This window comes from Homo sapiens, chromosome 6, assembly GCF_000001405.40.
Source record: "Homo sapiens chromosome 6, GRCh38.p14 Primary Assembly".
NCBI classification, from domain to species: domain Eukaryota; kingdom Metazoa; phylum Chordata; class Mammalia; order Primates; family Hominidae; genus Homo; species Homo sapiens.
In genome coordinates this window covers 139770080-139785830 of record NC_000006.12, presented here as the reverse complement: position 1 = coordinate 139785830, position 15751 = coordinate 139770080, and the positions used below count along the sequence as shown (strand labels likewise).

Genomic DNA, 15751 nt, shown 5'->3' with positions numbered 1-15751 from the left:
ACACATTGGGACTAATTAAGGAAACAACTTTACCCTGGAAGAACAAAGAAAAGCAAGGCAGGACAATGGCCCACCCAGGAGCAACACAGAGCTAGGGGAACCTCCGCTGCCCAGGGAAGTGGTTAGTGAATGTGCAACACCAGGAACCCATGCTTCTCCCACAGATCATTGCAACCCTTGGCTCAGGAGATCCCCTCATAAACTCACTCCACAAAGGCCTTCAGTCTAACACACAGAGCTATGTGAAGCCTTGGTAGCATTGCTATACACCAAGAATACCCAAGCTAAGAGCCAAATCAAGAATGCAATCTCTTCACAATAGCCACAAAAAGAATAAAATACCGAGGAATCCAGCTAACCAGGGAAGTGAAATGTCTCTACAACAAGAATTACAAAACACTGCTCAAAGGAATCATAGATGACACAAACAAATGAAAAGACATTCCTTGTCCATGGATAGGAAGAATCAGTATCATTAAAATGCCCATATTGCCCCAAGCAATCTACAGATTCAATGCTATTTTTATCAAACTACCAATGACATTATTAAGAGAACTAGAAAAAAAAACTATTTAAAAATTCATATGGAACAAAAACAACAAAAAAGGCCCAAATAGCCAAGGCAAACTTAAGCAAAAGGAACAAAGCTGGAGGCATAACATTACCCAACTTCAAAGTACACTACAGGGCTTCAGTAACCAAAACAGCATGATGCTGTACAAAAACAGGCACATGGACCAATGAAACAGAATAGAGAGCCCAGAAATAAGGACACATATCTAAGACCATCTCATCTTTGACAAAGTTGACAAAAATAAGCAATGGGGAAAAGCTCCCTATTCAATAAATGGTGCTGAGATAACTGGCTAGCCTGTTGCAGAAGATTGAAACTGGACCCCTTTCTTATACTATATACAAAAATCAACTCAAGATGGATAATGACTTAAATGTAAAACCTAAAACTATAAAAATCCTGGAAGACAACCTAGGAGATACTATTCCATACTTAGGCCTAGGCAAAGATTTTGTGACAAAAATGCCAAGAGCAATTGCAACAAAAACAAAATTTGACAAAAGAGACCTAATTAAACTTAACAGCTTCTGCAAAGCAGAAGGAACTATTGCCAGAGTAAACAGACAATCTACAGAGTGGTAGGAAATATTTGAAAACTATGCATCCCACAAAGATCTGATGTCCAGCATCTATACGGAACTAAAACAAATTTACAAGCAAAAAAACAAAAACTCCATTAAAAACTGAGCAAAGGACATGAACATACACTTTTCAAAATAAGACATACATGTGGCCAACAAGGATATGACAAAATGCTCAACATCACTAATAATCAGAGAACTGAAAATCAAAACCATGATGAGATTCCATCTCACACCAGTTGCAATAGCTCTTATTAAAAAGTCAAAAAGTAATAGATTTTGGCAAAGTTGCAGAGAAAAAGGATGACTTATACACTGCTAGTGCGAATTGTAAATCAGTTCAGCCATTGTGGAAAGCAATTTGTTGATTTTTCAAAGAACTTAAAACAGAATTATCATTCAACCTGGAAATCTCATTATTAGGTATATCCAAAGAAATACAAATAATTCTGTCTTAAAAACATACACATGCATATGTCCATCACAGCACTATTCACTATAGCAAAGACATAGAGTCAACCTAGATGCCCATCAGTGGTAGACTGGATAAAGAAAATTTGGTACAAATACACCATGGGATACTACACAGCCATGAAAAAGAATAAGATTATGTCCTTTGCAGCAACATAGATTGGAGGCCATTATCCTGGGCAAACTAACACAGGAGCAGAAAACCAAATATCACGTTCTTACTTATAAGTGGGAGCTAAACCTTACATACACATGGACACAAAAAGGGAACAACAGACAGTGGGACCTATAGCGTAAAGGGTGGGAGGAGGGTGAAGATCAAAAAATTACCTATCAGGTATTATGCTGATTAACTGGGTGACAAAATTGTACACCAAACCCCCATGATATGCAATTTACCTATAAAACAAACCTGCTCATGTACCCCAGAACCTAAATTAAAAATTAAAAAAAAAAAAGATATCATTAAAATAGAAATGGACAAGTCACCATCTGGGAGAAAATATTTTCAAAACATGTAGCTCACAAATGACATATCAAGTATATATTTAAAAATTATACAACTAAATAATAAGAAAAGAAACAATCTACTTAGAAAACAGACAAAAGTTTGAACAGACACATCTCAAAAAATCATATAAATTGAAAATATGTGTATGAACGGATGCTCAACATCAGTAGCCATTAGAAAAATGCAGATTAAAGCTATCATGAAATACCACTAAGAACCCACAAGAATGATTAAAGTAGACTAAAAAGTGGGTGAGGATGTAGAATAACTAAAAATTGGATATTGCTGGTGTGAATGCAAAATGGCACATCCACTTTGGAAAATATTTTAGTCATTTCTTATGATATAAAGTATATGCTTATTATATATACCAAGAGTAACTCTCCTGGGTACTGTTACCCAACAGAAATGAAAATATATTTCTTAGTTGTTTAGAATATCTTTATTTATTGTAGGCCAAACTACAAATACTCCGGTATCCATCAGCAAGTGAATGGATAAACAAATTTGGTACCTCATACAATGGAATACTATTCATAAACAAATTACCACTCAGAAACATATTACTGCTGTATTCATGATGTGCATAAATATCTAAAACATTATGCTAAATTTAAAAAGCTAAACCTAAAACACTAAATGCTGTATGATTCCACTTATATGAAATTCTAGAACAGGCCAAACTCTAGACACAGATAAATGATAAGGGTTTATAAGGGGTTAGGTTTGTGGGGAGGAGATTGAGTGGAAAAAGGCAGAGGAAACAAAAGTGTTGGGAGTATTCTACATCGTAACTGTGGTTGGTGAGGGTTAAATGGCTGCATGCATTTACTTCAATGCTTTGTACACTTAAAAATGATAAATTGTAGGCTGGGTGTAGTGGCTCACGCCTGTAATCACAGCACTTTGGGAGGCCGAGGCGGGTGGATCACGAGGTCAGAAGATCGAGGCCATCCTGGCTAACACGGTGAAATCCCGTCTCTACTTAAAAAATACAAAAAAAAAATTAGGCGGGCGTGGTGGCGGGCGCCTGTAGTCCCAGCTACTCAGGAGGCTGAGGCAGGAGAATGGCGTGAACCCGGGAGGCGGAGCTTGCAGTGAGCTGAGATCGCACCACTGCACTCCAGCCTGGGTGACAGAGCGAGACTCCGTCTCAAAAAAAAAAAAAAAAAAAAAAAAAAAAAATGGTAAATTGTATTGTATATACATCGTGCCTCAATGAAACTGAAAGATAAAGAGAGTAATAGATGTCCAAGGAGCATGACTTGAAGAAGGTCTACAGTTAAAATTACCTAGGAGAAAGGGGACAAGAAGTCACCAAAGGAAAAAGATGGATCAGAAATGCAGGAATGAACAGAGGAATGCCACTTGGGCTAAAGATAAGCTAATACAGAATAGTAGTTTTCAAGAGGTACTTCACCACCACCCACTAAGAGGTATTTTAGAAATTTTTGGTTGACAGCAATACTGGAAGATGTTTTTACATTTCGTGTTGGGGGAGTAGGAAAGGAGGCTAGATATCTTGCAGTGTATCAGACAGTCCTACAGGTAGAAGAATTGTTTTGCATCAAAACAAACTTTTGAATGACTCACGGACATTCATACATGTAGAAATATCTGTTTAAAATGACTTTAGTCTAGGACCTAACTTATTCATAAAAATCCAAATATGTTTACATGTTATTAAATATACCAAATTTTCCAGAAATACAACTACTATGTAGTTCTTTAGTTTGCTTGGTTTGAATCCTTACCAAACGTTGTTTAAAAGTCCAATAATTGACATTTCTTCTAACAGTGCTGTTCATGGTATTTGAATCACATTTGTATCAATCTGCATTTGTATCATATTAATGATGACTCTGTGCATTGATGCATATTATTTTATCATAAATTAATCCATTTGTATATAGTTAAAGCATTATGCTGAGTTATTAAAATTGTGTGAGTAGGACAATTATATCACCAATGCATTTTATTTCAACATGATAGGGCAGCATTCTAAGGATTAGTTTTAAAGTGGGGTGAGGGTTTGGTAGGATTAAGAATAATTATTCTAGAAGATAGGATTGTTAAAAGAGTTAAATTTTTAAGACATAAAGAAGAATAAGGACTTAGTAGATTTCCCCAAGTTTTGCTGATTTGAAGTTAGTCAAACTTTTAAGGAATGAGCAGGCATTGAGAGATGGAGAAATAGGGTATTTAAAATATGCACTTCAAAGTGTGGACAGTAAAAGAGGAAACAAACAGAATTGTTAGAATATGCACCAGAATCAGATGAAGGATTATCAAGTTTTGTGAACCTGTGCATCCTTGAAGTGAAGGCAAAGGGAGGTATTCATGTAGAGTGGAGAACTAGAGATTTTTTAAAAAGCCAGAGAAAGTGCCAGATAAAAATGAGAACACATCTTTCCTGAGCTAAAAGGAATGGAAAAAGCTCTTCAGGTTGAAGATTTATCTCTGTGGTGATCATCGGGGCAGGCTGTCCATGTATATGTTGACAGAGGAGGTGACCTACTCTGTGAGATCCTGTGCTTTGAGTACCATTGCCCCCCAAATATCTCAGTCATTCACAGTGGTGTCTGATGCCCCACAATCATAAATGTGTCCTTTGGCATGTGGATTCTTTCTCCTATTAAAAAAAAATTAAAAGCTCTTGTATTGAGAAAAATAACATACTGAGTCTTTTTAAAGATTTTTACAATCCTGTGTTTATCAGGTCTTCACCAAGTTCAGGTTTTGAATAAGGATTGTAGCAGTGGTATACAGACCTAGAGCTTCAGAAATAGAGTGGGGGAAATCTTGAGGGCAAAAAAGGACACAAGCTCCAAAGCCAATCCTCAGTGATCCCACCATTTAGTGTAAAAAAGCCAGAGAGGGGCAGCTCTTCTGGCAAAGTCTAAATTATTGCCCTGCCTCTTATTAACTGTGTGACTCTGGGCAAGTTACTTACCTCTCTGGGCAGGGTACTGAGGGAGTGCTGAGATGGGAGTTGGAAGTTGTTATTAAGGTGAAGATGAGGTATCACATGCCAGATGTTCTCATTAAGATATGAGATCATTTACCAGTTGCATTGCGGGCTTGAAAACAGAGAATGCCTGGAATGGCTCCTGGAAGCCTCAGAAAGAGATGACTAGCACAGTCAGCAAGCAGATGTGACCACTCAGGTGTAATTGGAGTCCTTGACGGTGTAGATGGCCAGGGCTACATGGCTCTCCCTTTTCGTTGAAGTGTCCTCCATAAAGCAAAAAGAAACGCAGATAGTAGAGGTGTGATAGGCATGGAAAACACAGTAAAGATTTGGTAGATCTTAGGAATCAATGGTGAAGGTCCACGTGAAGGCGAGAAACGCAGTGGGAACTGTCAGAAAGACACTGGACTGGGCCTCAAAGACAAATTGTAGTCTCATGTCTACACTAATAATCTATTTGACCTTAGACAAGCCATCAGTAGAAATAACATTTTGTTCCTGATTTGATAAGGACCTGAAAGTTTCACTGAGAACAGATGGAGAATTCCCTTAGTAAGGAGGGGAGAGATGCCAGGTTGGTTGCTCCTTCAGAGTCTCCCTTTCAGCCTTTTGCCAAGAGAGTTGCAGATGTAGTTTAAGAGTTGTATTATAGTTTGGGGCTGGGCTTGGTGGTTCACGCCTGTAATCCCAGCACTTTGGGAAGTTGAGGGGGGCAGACTGCTTGAGCTCAGGAATTCAAGATCAACCTGGGCAATATGGCGAGACCCCATCTCTACAAAAAAATACAAAAATTAGCCTAGAGTGGTGGTGCATACCTCTAGTTCCAGCTATTTTGGGGGGCTAAGGCAGGAGGATCACCTGAGCCCAGGAGGTTGAGGCCACCATGAGCCAAGATCATGCCACTGCACTCCAGCTTGGATGACAGAGTGAAACGCTCTCTCTCTCTCTCAAAAAAACAAAAACAAAAAACAAAACCAAACAAAAAAACAGTAATAGGTTGTAAGTTTAAATTCCTGCTCTGCCTCTTATTAACTGCATGACTCTGGAAAAGTTACTTACCTCTCTGGGCTTCAGTTTCTTTACCTATTAAATGGAAATGATACAAATATAAATACACTGTGCTCCACGACGTAGGGCATGTAAGATTCCAAAAACTACTGAGTACTGCAAACACTCTCTATTCTATTTTTTTGTTTGTTTGTTTCAGCTAAAAGTTCACTTCTTCTGATTTCTACAGCACTTTTCATCTTCCCATATTTAGTCATTTACCAAAATGGCCCACAGCCTTTGTTCCTGAAAGGGTGTGTATATGGTTATGTCTTTCGGTCTGTCTATCTTATCTCTTTAAGAAGATTGCCAGCTTTTGGACAGTAGAAGAATATATATTAGATTCCTTGTATATCCCTTTCAGCTTCTAGAATGCACTTAACCATAGCACTCGACAAACATGTATTAGATAAATGAGGTTTACAGTCCCAGATACAAAACTTCCCTATGCTCTGTATCAATTACACAGCTTAGGAAGACACAGGTGTGGAATAATTTATCTAGGGTTTGGGTGTTTTTGTTTGTTTCCAGTTGGTCTGTGACTATACATAGATTCAATCATAATGAAGCTGACAAAGAAGAGATGACATTTTGGAAAACGAAAAGGAATTTTGGATATTACAGCTCAACATTTGTCACCTCCCTGGCTGATAGCAGTGCACGTTCTTTCCCTTTGGCTAAATTTGGATCCAACGCCGGCTAAGTGCACTAAGCAAGCCAGAACTACATTGTACCTCTATTTTGTGACATATGAGCTCCCTGCTTTAATCTCCCCTCTACTGTATAAAAGAGGATCTGAGGCTGTTAGACTTCAATCCGGTGATTCATGCAGCTGGCACACAATAGATTCCACCTCTCTTCTCACTGCTGCACAATATCAAGCTAAACAAAATGTCTTAGAAAGCTTTGGTTCATGTAGTCAGCCTGTCACAGATCCCTCCCCCCACCCCCAATGCCACCCCCACCCCCCACACACCCCTTTTTTTCTTCTACTAAGCAAAAGAGTCCGAATGCCCAGCACCTGCCTTTTTACTGACATTTCCACAAAGGTAAAGGAATGAACCTTTTGTCAATTCCTACCAAACGATCTGTTTTGAAACAATGAGATGAAAAGCCTGGGCCCCTCTCCTTGCTACTGGATTACAGTGCAGAGGATTAAAATAAAGGACATTTGATTTTATTGATTTAATGAGGGATGGAGGCTTTTGCTGGAGCATCCCTCGTGGCAAAGGAACAAGTCTTGTTGGCAGGTACCTCCACTGAGGCACTTCTTCTACATTTGTTTGGTTTTTCAGTGGTGCTTGTTTATGGGTTTGGCTGTTAGAATGACCCACAGTGTTCCTTGCCATGCTGCATGAAGCAGTCAAATGCCTGCAGTGATTTCAGTGTGTGTCTCCAGACAGGGAGAAAGCAGGAGAGACGCGGATGGGAGGATACACAGTTCTGCAGGATAAAGAGCTGCTGGAAGAGGTGACAGGGAAAGCATTTCTTTGAAAAAAGAAGGAGAGTCAAAGAAAGCAGACTGGAAAAGAAATAGTACTTCTACCGGCAAAAAAGATCATCTGCAGAGCCTATTATTTCTCAGCTGCATCTACTTCAGCTAGGTTTTTAAAATCCCCTTTCTGTCCACACCATTCTGTTCCCATGCCCATCCTTGCCCCCTCCCCTTCCATTACCCAAGTTTGAATATTGAGAAAACTAAGGGGGTTCAGACACCATGTTTGCTGTGGATGGGGCTGGGCACAGCTAGATAATCTTTTTGCTTTTGTTCTCTTCTTTGGGGCTTCTTGTGATACTATTATTGACATTTTCATATGGTAATTTTTGCATTATATGTTTCTTCTTTTATATTTGCCCTATTTTTTTCCATACAGCCTGACTTCATTGTCTACTGAGCCGTGTGAAAGGGACATTGCCAGTCACCTGCTGACCAAATCTAAGCAGTGATCTACTTTTAATACCGAAATGTACTGCATGTTTCTTAATAGACATGTGTACACTCAGGATTCCTATTAATATGAGCATATGTCCCTATACACTGTGTACATTTATTGAAATGTATTTATGCAGTCCACCCATAGATTAAACACCCCCAATTCCCTCTGGTGATACTGTCTCTCTGACTGCTAGCTTAAAGAGAAACAGTTCCTAAGAGCATATGGTTTCCAAAACACAGCCCTTCCCCCGCCCTTTTAGTGTACACAAAATGAGCGGCCACCCCTCCCCCACAGCGTCTCTGCTCTCTGCTGCAAGAGCCTGAAACCAGGGGGCAAAATCATTAGTTCCCAATTACCTTAAGACATGCAAGATAACCTCTCTCAAGGGCTGTTGGTAAAATATGCACACAGTTGCCCTGTCTAGACAGTTATGAAATATAGGTGTAGGGCTCGGCCATTGCAGAACACCAATGCATCTCAAATGAAGTGCTTTTATTAAAGAAGTATAATCACCAGGATAACTAATTACATCAATGCCACATAGTTAATTAAACCCATTATAGTTACTATTCCCATGGAGAGAAGGTCAAATGAAGCGACCATCTTTTTGATTCTACTATGCTAACAAAAAAAGAAATTAAGTAAAACATAACACAGACCTCTTCATTTTGTGTCTGTTTTTTAACATTTAATAACTACCTAGGGTGTCATCCAAGATCTTCAAGTATAATCCATAGCCAAAGACTGCCAGGCTGTTCAAAAGACCACCTTGTAACTTACCTGAACTTCCATTAAATGATTACCAACTGTTTGCTTGATTGGTGCAAGAAGTAATGACAAGTAAAACTGAAAGGCAGAATGAGCAGCCACTGTGTTTTTATTAATATCTTACAGAGAAACATGATGGAAGGTAGTGCTTATGTTTCAGTCTACTCTGGCTTCATGGCTAATAAGGGGGAGGTAGCCCCGTGTACCCCTCTAGGCCCTACCAGGGACTGTGAGAGTGACCCGCTAAGGTTAGGTATTAAAGCTCATTAACCAGCCGAAGACACACAGATTGCATATCCTGCGGTTTCAGCAACAACAAAATCTTGCTCTGACACCCAAGTATAAAGGATAATTCAGATATAAACATGGAAAAGGAGAGAATTCAAGAACTCTATTGCATAATGACATTGTCTTCCAGAGGAAGAATGTGGACACACACACACACACATCTCTCAAATATTAATCTTTAGAAAATAAATCAAGAAATTTTGATCCTCCTTGTCTGAAAATTCACCAGGTCATTATATCACTGTCACACCTTCTTCTCAAAGCAGTTCATTGTACAGAGAGAGGATTTGCATTCACTTCTCCTGATTAACAAAGAAAACTTTGTATAAAAGGGCTATGCACTGAGACGTGCAAATGTGGCCAGTCTGACCCCCTGCAGGAGAAGGCAGACAAGCAGTAGGGAGAAGAGGTAGATGAGGAACGAGAAAGAATGCTTTGATCCCAGTACAGCACACACAATGTAGCAGGCGGCACACTCCCAGCAAGCTCTGACCCTAAGCAGGCTGAAGTTTGGCATGGAGTCAAAGAGTGGAAAGCAATATAATGAGTATAGTTTCGTGCAGTCGTGAACAACAGAAGGCTGCAAAATCACTGTTCTTGCTGGGTTTGTTGTGACGGTGGTTGTTGTGATTGTTGCTCATATTATTATTGTTATTGTCACTATTTTCCAACTCAGGAAACTATAATATTGCTTCAATTGCAAGATAAGCCTAATTATTTTAATATAGACTGTAAGCAAAAGGCAGCACACACACACACAAAAATCACATAGGCCCCATGAAAAACAAAGGATCAGGTGTTAAATCCTTTATTTGTCCAGTGGTTTAAGCTGAGGTATGAAGCATTTAGTTTAGATGTAAAGAGATCTTTTCTTTACCATCCATAACCCTCACCTCCACCCCAAAAGCTGCTTCTCAGACTTCTTTGTTCTTCTCATGGAGCCATCATGCTACCAGTCACCCAGACAGAAACACCAGGGGAAGGTGTCATTTTTTTTAACTTTGTCTCCTTTTCCCCTTTCGTCAAATCAGTGGCCAAGTCTGGGAAAGTCCTCGCCGTCATCCACTTCCCTCCAAACCCTTTTCCATTACCACCCGCCTCTGATCTCCTGTCTCTGTCCTTCCTGCTTCCAGTTACCCTCCCCTTTCAATCCCTGTTACTCAACCCACCCAAGACATCTTTCTTTCTAAAGTATTGTCCCCATCTGGTTGCTCTTTGCCTCGAAAATACGCATTGATTCCCCAGAATTGCCCTATAGAGTAATTTGCAAATTCCTCACTTTGGCATTGAGGTTGTCTCCACTCTGCCTCTGCTATGTGTGCAGGTTTACCTCGCAGGGCTTCCCTAGCTGGGACCTGAGCTCCCATTCTGATCATGTCGCGCACTCCAGTGACTCCAGACCTCCGCTTCTTACATGCACTTCACTGCCAGTCCTTCCCTCCCTCACCAGGTCGTTCTTGAACTCCCACACATCCTTTGATGTTCACCTTTTATATATCTGTTTTTAGAGACAAGATCTTGCTCTGTCACCCAGGCTGAAGTGCAGTGGCACAATCATAGCTCACTGCAACCTTGAACTCCTGGCCTCAAGCGATCCTCCCACCTCAGCCTCCCAAGATGCTGGGACTACAGGCATGAGCTACGGTGCCCTGCTCAATGTCATCTTAATGCCTTCTACCAGGAAGCCTTTTCTGATGTGCCTAAGCTACAGATACTTTATCACTTTGATTTTCCAGGACATGTTTTTTACATGTACTTTATGACCAGTATCATAATATGCCTATAATAATCAAAAGTATTGATCATATTATTTCTTCAGATTTTAAACTGTAAAAATGCAAAAATTATATCTTCCTGATCTTTGTATGAGGTTAATTAAATATCCATCTACTGGGATCAAATTAAAAGGTTATTTTACAAAATTATGGAGTCTTAAATATAGGGTAATTATCCATCTACTTGGAAAAGTTTTGTACTATCATAGTTCAAGTGAGTGAAAGAAATGAACATTCTCAGACACTTCTGTCTCCATTGTTGTGTGATCTAAAGAAAGTGAGCTTCATTCTTATAGCTGATTTATAAGAGAAGTAGTGTGGACAAACCAACCCTATAAATTATCCAAAAAGTATTCTGACCCAATAAAGTGTGTTATAATTTGAAAATATTTGTTGATAAGTTATGTTATTATAAATTTTGTGATTTATACCTTGATGCCCAAGCAGGCACAAATACCCACCTTATAACTATAGAATGGTTAATGTTACTCACCTGCCCTGATCTGTGCCTTTGCAATGTTCATGGTGGACTAGATTTGACAACCTAAAATTATTTTACTTAACTTTCACAGACCAAGGCAATTGACTGGGTATACAGTAATCACCCCACCCCGAACCCTTATCCGCATTTTGCTTTTCATGGTTTTCAGTTACCTAAAGTACAAGAAGATATTTTGAGAGACAGAGACCACATTCACATAACTTTTATTAGAATATATTGTTATAATTGTTGTTTTATTATTACTTATTGTTGTTAATCTCTTACTATGCCTAATTTATAAATTATCATCATAGGTATATATGTATAAGAAAAAACACGCCTGGCACGGTGGCTCACACCTGTAATCCCAGCACTTTGGGAGGCCGAGGCAGGTGGATCACCTGAGGTCAGGAGTTCAAGACCAGCCTGGCCAACATGGTGAAACCCCATCTCTACTAAAAATACAAAAAAATTAGCCAGGTGTGGTGGCATGCACCTGTAATCCCAGCTGCTTGGGAGGCTAAGGCAGGAGAATTGCTTGAACCCAAAAGGCAGAGGTTGCAGTGAGCTGAGATCATGCCACTGCACTCTAGCCTCTAGCCTGGGCGACAGAGCAAAGCCCTGTCTCAAAAAAAAAAAAAAAAAAAAGAAAAAAAGAAAAAACAGAGTGTATACTATCCAAATACTCAGGTATACACTGAGGGTGATAGGAAGTGTCTAATGAGGATAAGGATGGGACTAATGTATTAATTATGTGAAGGGCTGAATAGTAGAGGAAAGATAGAAAGATGCGTTAGGACTCAAAAGATCTGAGTTCTAGTCCTGGTTCTGCAAACTCACAGGTTGGATGAATTACTTAATATCTAAATTAATATCTAAAGGGCTCCCCCATGAACACACACACACACATACAAAGTCATACTGCTGGACTTTCTGAATTTTAAAGAGAAAATAGAAGAATAGCCTTAAATGTCTTAAAGTAACCAAATTGAAACTATGATTTAAGTATGATTATTCACAACTTTAAGCTGTATAAAATTGTAATTATTTGGGAGAAGAATATTAATTTTCTACTCATTTGATGTTATAATGCAGTATGAATAATTCAAATAAAGTAGACAAAATAAAATTAGAAAGACAGAACCACAATACAAACTTGGAATAATACAAAACAAAACAAAACAAAACACACAATATAAAATGCAATAAAACTCAGAACAATAACCAAGTCACCACTACCACTTGTATAAAACTACAGAGGCACATGGAGTAATGACAAAATAAACCAGGGCTACCATTCTGGGTGATACATAATTATAGTAACGCAAATGCAAGCAATTCTGAGCCAACATGAAAAATCATTGTTTCTCAATATTTTTGTGCCTATGGAAAATTTTTGTTTTAGTGCTTAAGAAAAGCAGTTTTGGGGCTGAAGTTTATTTCAGTTTATTTTATTCTTTAAAAACGGACTTTTATTCCCATTGAATAAACAGGGTATAAACTACTAAAATACAATAAACTCCAAGTCAAGAAGCTTAGAGGTTTGACTCTGTCTCAGGTTGAAATGAGCCCTGGCTAGTTCATGGTTTACCAGTAAACTCTTCTTCATGGATATAGAGTGTGAACTGCTATAACACCATCTTCATTCAAAAAGACTAACCAGAAAGAAAAAAATATATAGAATTTATGCTCTATGTTGAAGGAACAAGGAAAAAAAAAGAAGGTAGAAGAAAGGGAAGGAGAGGGAGAAGGAAGGAGGGAGGGGAGAGAAAAAGAGAAAGGAAGGAAAGAGACAGAGAAGAGAAGAAGAAAAGATAGACCAAAAAAAAAATTTTTTTTTGAAATGGAGTCTAGCCCTGTCGCCCAGGATGGAGTGCAGTGACGCCATCTCTGCTCACTGCAAGCTCCGCCTCCCGGGTTCACGCCATTCTCCTGCCTCAGCCTCCAGAGTAGCTGGGACTACAGGCTCCCACCACCACGCCCAGCTGATTTTTTGTATTTTTAGTAGAGACGGGGTTTCACTGTGTTAGCCAGGATGGTCTCGATCTCCTGACCTCATGATCCGCCCGCCTCGACCTCCCAGAGTGCTGGGATTACAGGCATGAGCCACGGCACTCGGCCAACAAAAGAAAATTTTTGGAAGAAAGATGAGGAGTTAACAAGCCTGGAGAACTTAAGTGATTTCCCTAATTTCTTTCAGAATCTTGACAAACTTTTTCTCTTCCATACCTGAGTTCTTGGCATCTTACTTTTATTATAGCTTCACTAGGGACGTGATTGTACAAGGATGAGGCATGATCATGAATAAAACGAAGTTGGAACCCTAAGCCTAATAGTAATGAAAGGTTTCCTGTAAATGTCCGAACAAATGTACCGGGTCTGTGCAGGAATACACCAATGATGTTTCAATATACTTAAGGCATCAATACTACAGACACATACCCGTTTCCCTGCCTAAGATGTTCCACTGGTTTTCCATTTTTTACAAGAAACATGATCCATAAGGCTGTCCAAAAACCACTTAGCCCTACAAAATCTTCTACAACAGCACACAAAATATTCTGACGAAATACCAAAAGACATAGTTTCCTGTGTGTGTTCACCGGAGAACGGAGGAGAAAAGATCATTTCAAGTAAAGGATGCAGTGTTGACTGAGAGGTGTCGGAGGGTGTGACCTGCTCTCTGCGAAGTCTCCCCTGACCTCCCGGAAGAGTGAACACTCTCTCCACCAGAAAACCTCTGACCCATAGCTTTCTTATCTTACGGCGCTTATCTAACAATCTTAGATCTCTCATTTATGTAGGTGCCTTCTCTACTGAACTGGAATCATTTCTGAAATAAGAAACTCTTGTTAACAATGTGTCTGATACATGTTCATAATAATAGTTAAAACATGCATCAGGAATTCAGAATAATTCTGCTATTGCGAAGATTGTACTGAGCTACAAAAATAATTCCTTCCATTTGTAAAACATTCATTGCTTAAGAGGCACATTCACAAATCTTATATTTTACCATTAGATCTGTCAAGATATTTTTAACTTCAACTTCAGGTTAAGAAAAGTGTTAATAGACTAGATTAACTAATGTGATTAACTAATTAGATTAACTAGTTGAGAGTTTCATAAAAGTGAATTAACTTCTCTAGGCCTCAGCTTTTCTACTTATAAAACAAAAATATTTCATGTGAGTCTCTTTGAAGTCCCTCTAGCTCTATAGCAAGCAGCCAAATGGAAAAGTATAAGCAGCCAAAATTGCCATTGTTGTATTAATAAAATGAAATAAGGATCAGATAAACTCACAGAATGAGAACTGTCATCATCTGTAGGAGTTGTTGGCTCTTTCTGCAAATCCTACGGATGACAACAAGAACGAAAAACTGTTAGAGAGTTTAGAGAGGAAAGAGGAACCACGAAGAAGGACCAAGTAGTTGCAAAGGACACCAAAAATAAAAAATAAAATAAAATAAAAATTGAGAATGAATAAGCTTAATTTATACTGCCTAGGAATCTCTCTTTTATTTTATTTTATTTTATTTTATTTTTTCTGGAGACAGAGTTTCACCCTGTCACCCAGGCTGGAGTGTAGTGGCATGATCTCAGCTCACTGCAGTCTCTACCTCCCGGGTTCAAGCAATTCTCCTGCCTCAGCCTCCCAGGTAGCTGGGATTACAGGCATGCGCCACCACGCCCGGCTAATTTTTGTATTTTTACTAGAGACGGGGTTTTGCTGTGTTGGCCAGGCTGGTTTTGAACTCCTGACATCAAGTGATCCGTCCACCTCTGCCTCCCGAAGTGCTGGGATTACAGGCGTGAGCCACGGCACCAGGCCTAGGAATGCTTTTTCACAAAAAACACACAGGACACTTTTTTTTTTTTTTAATTATACTTTAAGTTCTACGGTACACGTGCGCAACGTGCAGGTTTGTTACATATGTATACATGTGCCATGTTGGTGTGTTGCACCCATTAACTCATCATTTACATTAGGTATATCTCCTAATGCCATCCCTCCCCCCTCCACCCAACCCACGACAGGCCCCAGTGTGTGATGTTCCCTGCCTGTGTCCAAGTGTTCTCATTGTTCAATTCCCACCTATGAGTGAGAACATGAGGTGTTTGGTTTTTTGTCCTTGTGATACTTTGCTGAGAATGATGGTTTCCAGCTTCAACCATGTCCCTACAAAGGACATGAACTCATCCTTTTTATTGCTGCATAGTATTCCATGGTGTATATGTGCCACATTTTCTTAATCCAGTCTATCATTGATGGACATTTGGGTTGGTTCCAAGTCTTTGCTATTGTGAATAGTGCCGCAATAAACATATGTGTGCATGTGTCTTTAT

General features: G+C 39.3%; 1 long non-coding RNA gene across 1 annotated transcript in view, besides 1 other annotated feature; it reads right to left on the bottom strand.

The window, feature by feature from the left end:
- FILNC1 (FOXO induced long non-coding RNA 1) overlaps positions 1-14758 on the bottom strand; it is an 89399-nt gene extending 74641 nt beyond the window's left edge. Inside the window, exon 1 of the long non-coding RNA NR_038399.2 lies at positions 14708-14758. This is a non-coding gene — a long non-coding RNA (FOXO induced long non-coding RNA 1). The remainder of the gene's footprint in view (positions 1-14707) is intronic.
- Positions 15288-15465: a silencer, noted in NCBI's record as "fragment chr6:140091503-140091680 (GRCh37/hg19 assembly coordinates)". NCBI's record gives its function as "represses an EF-1alpha promoter that drives an FKBP-Casp9 reporter gene in an ReSE screen in phorbol 12-myristate 13-acetate-treated (for megakaryocytic differentiation) K562 erythroleukemia cells {active_cell/tissue: K562(+PMA)}" and the evidence as "EXISTENCE:reporter gene assay evidence [ECO:0000049][PMID:32094911]".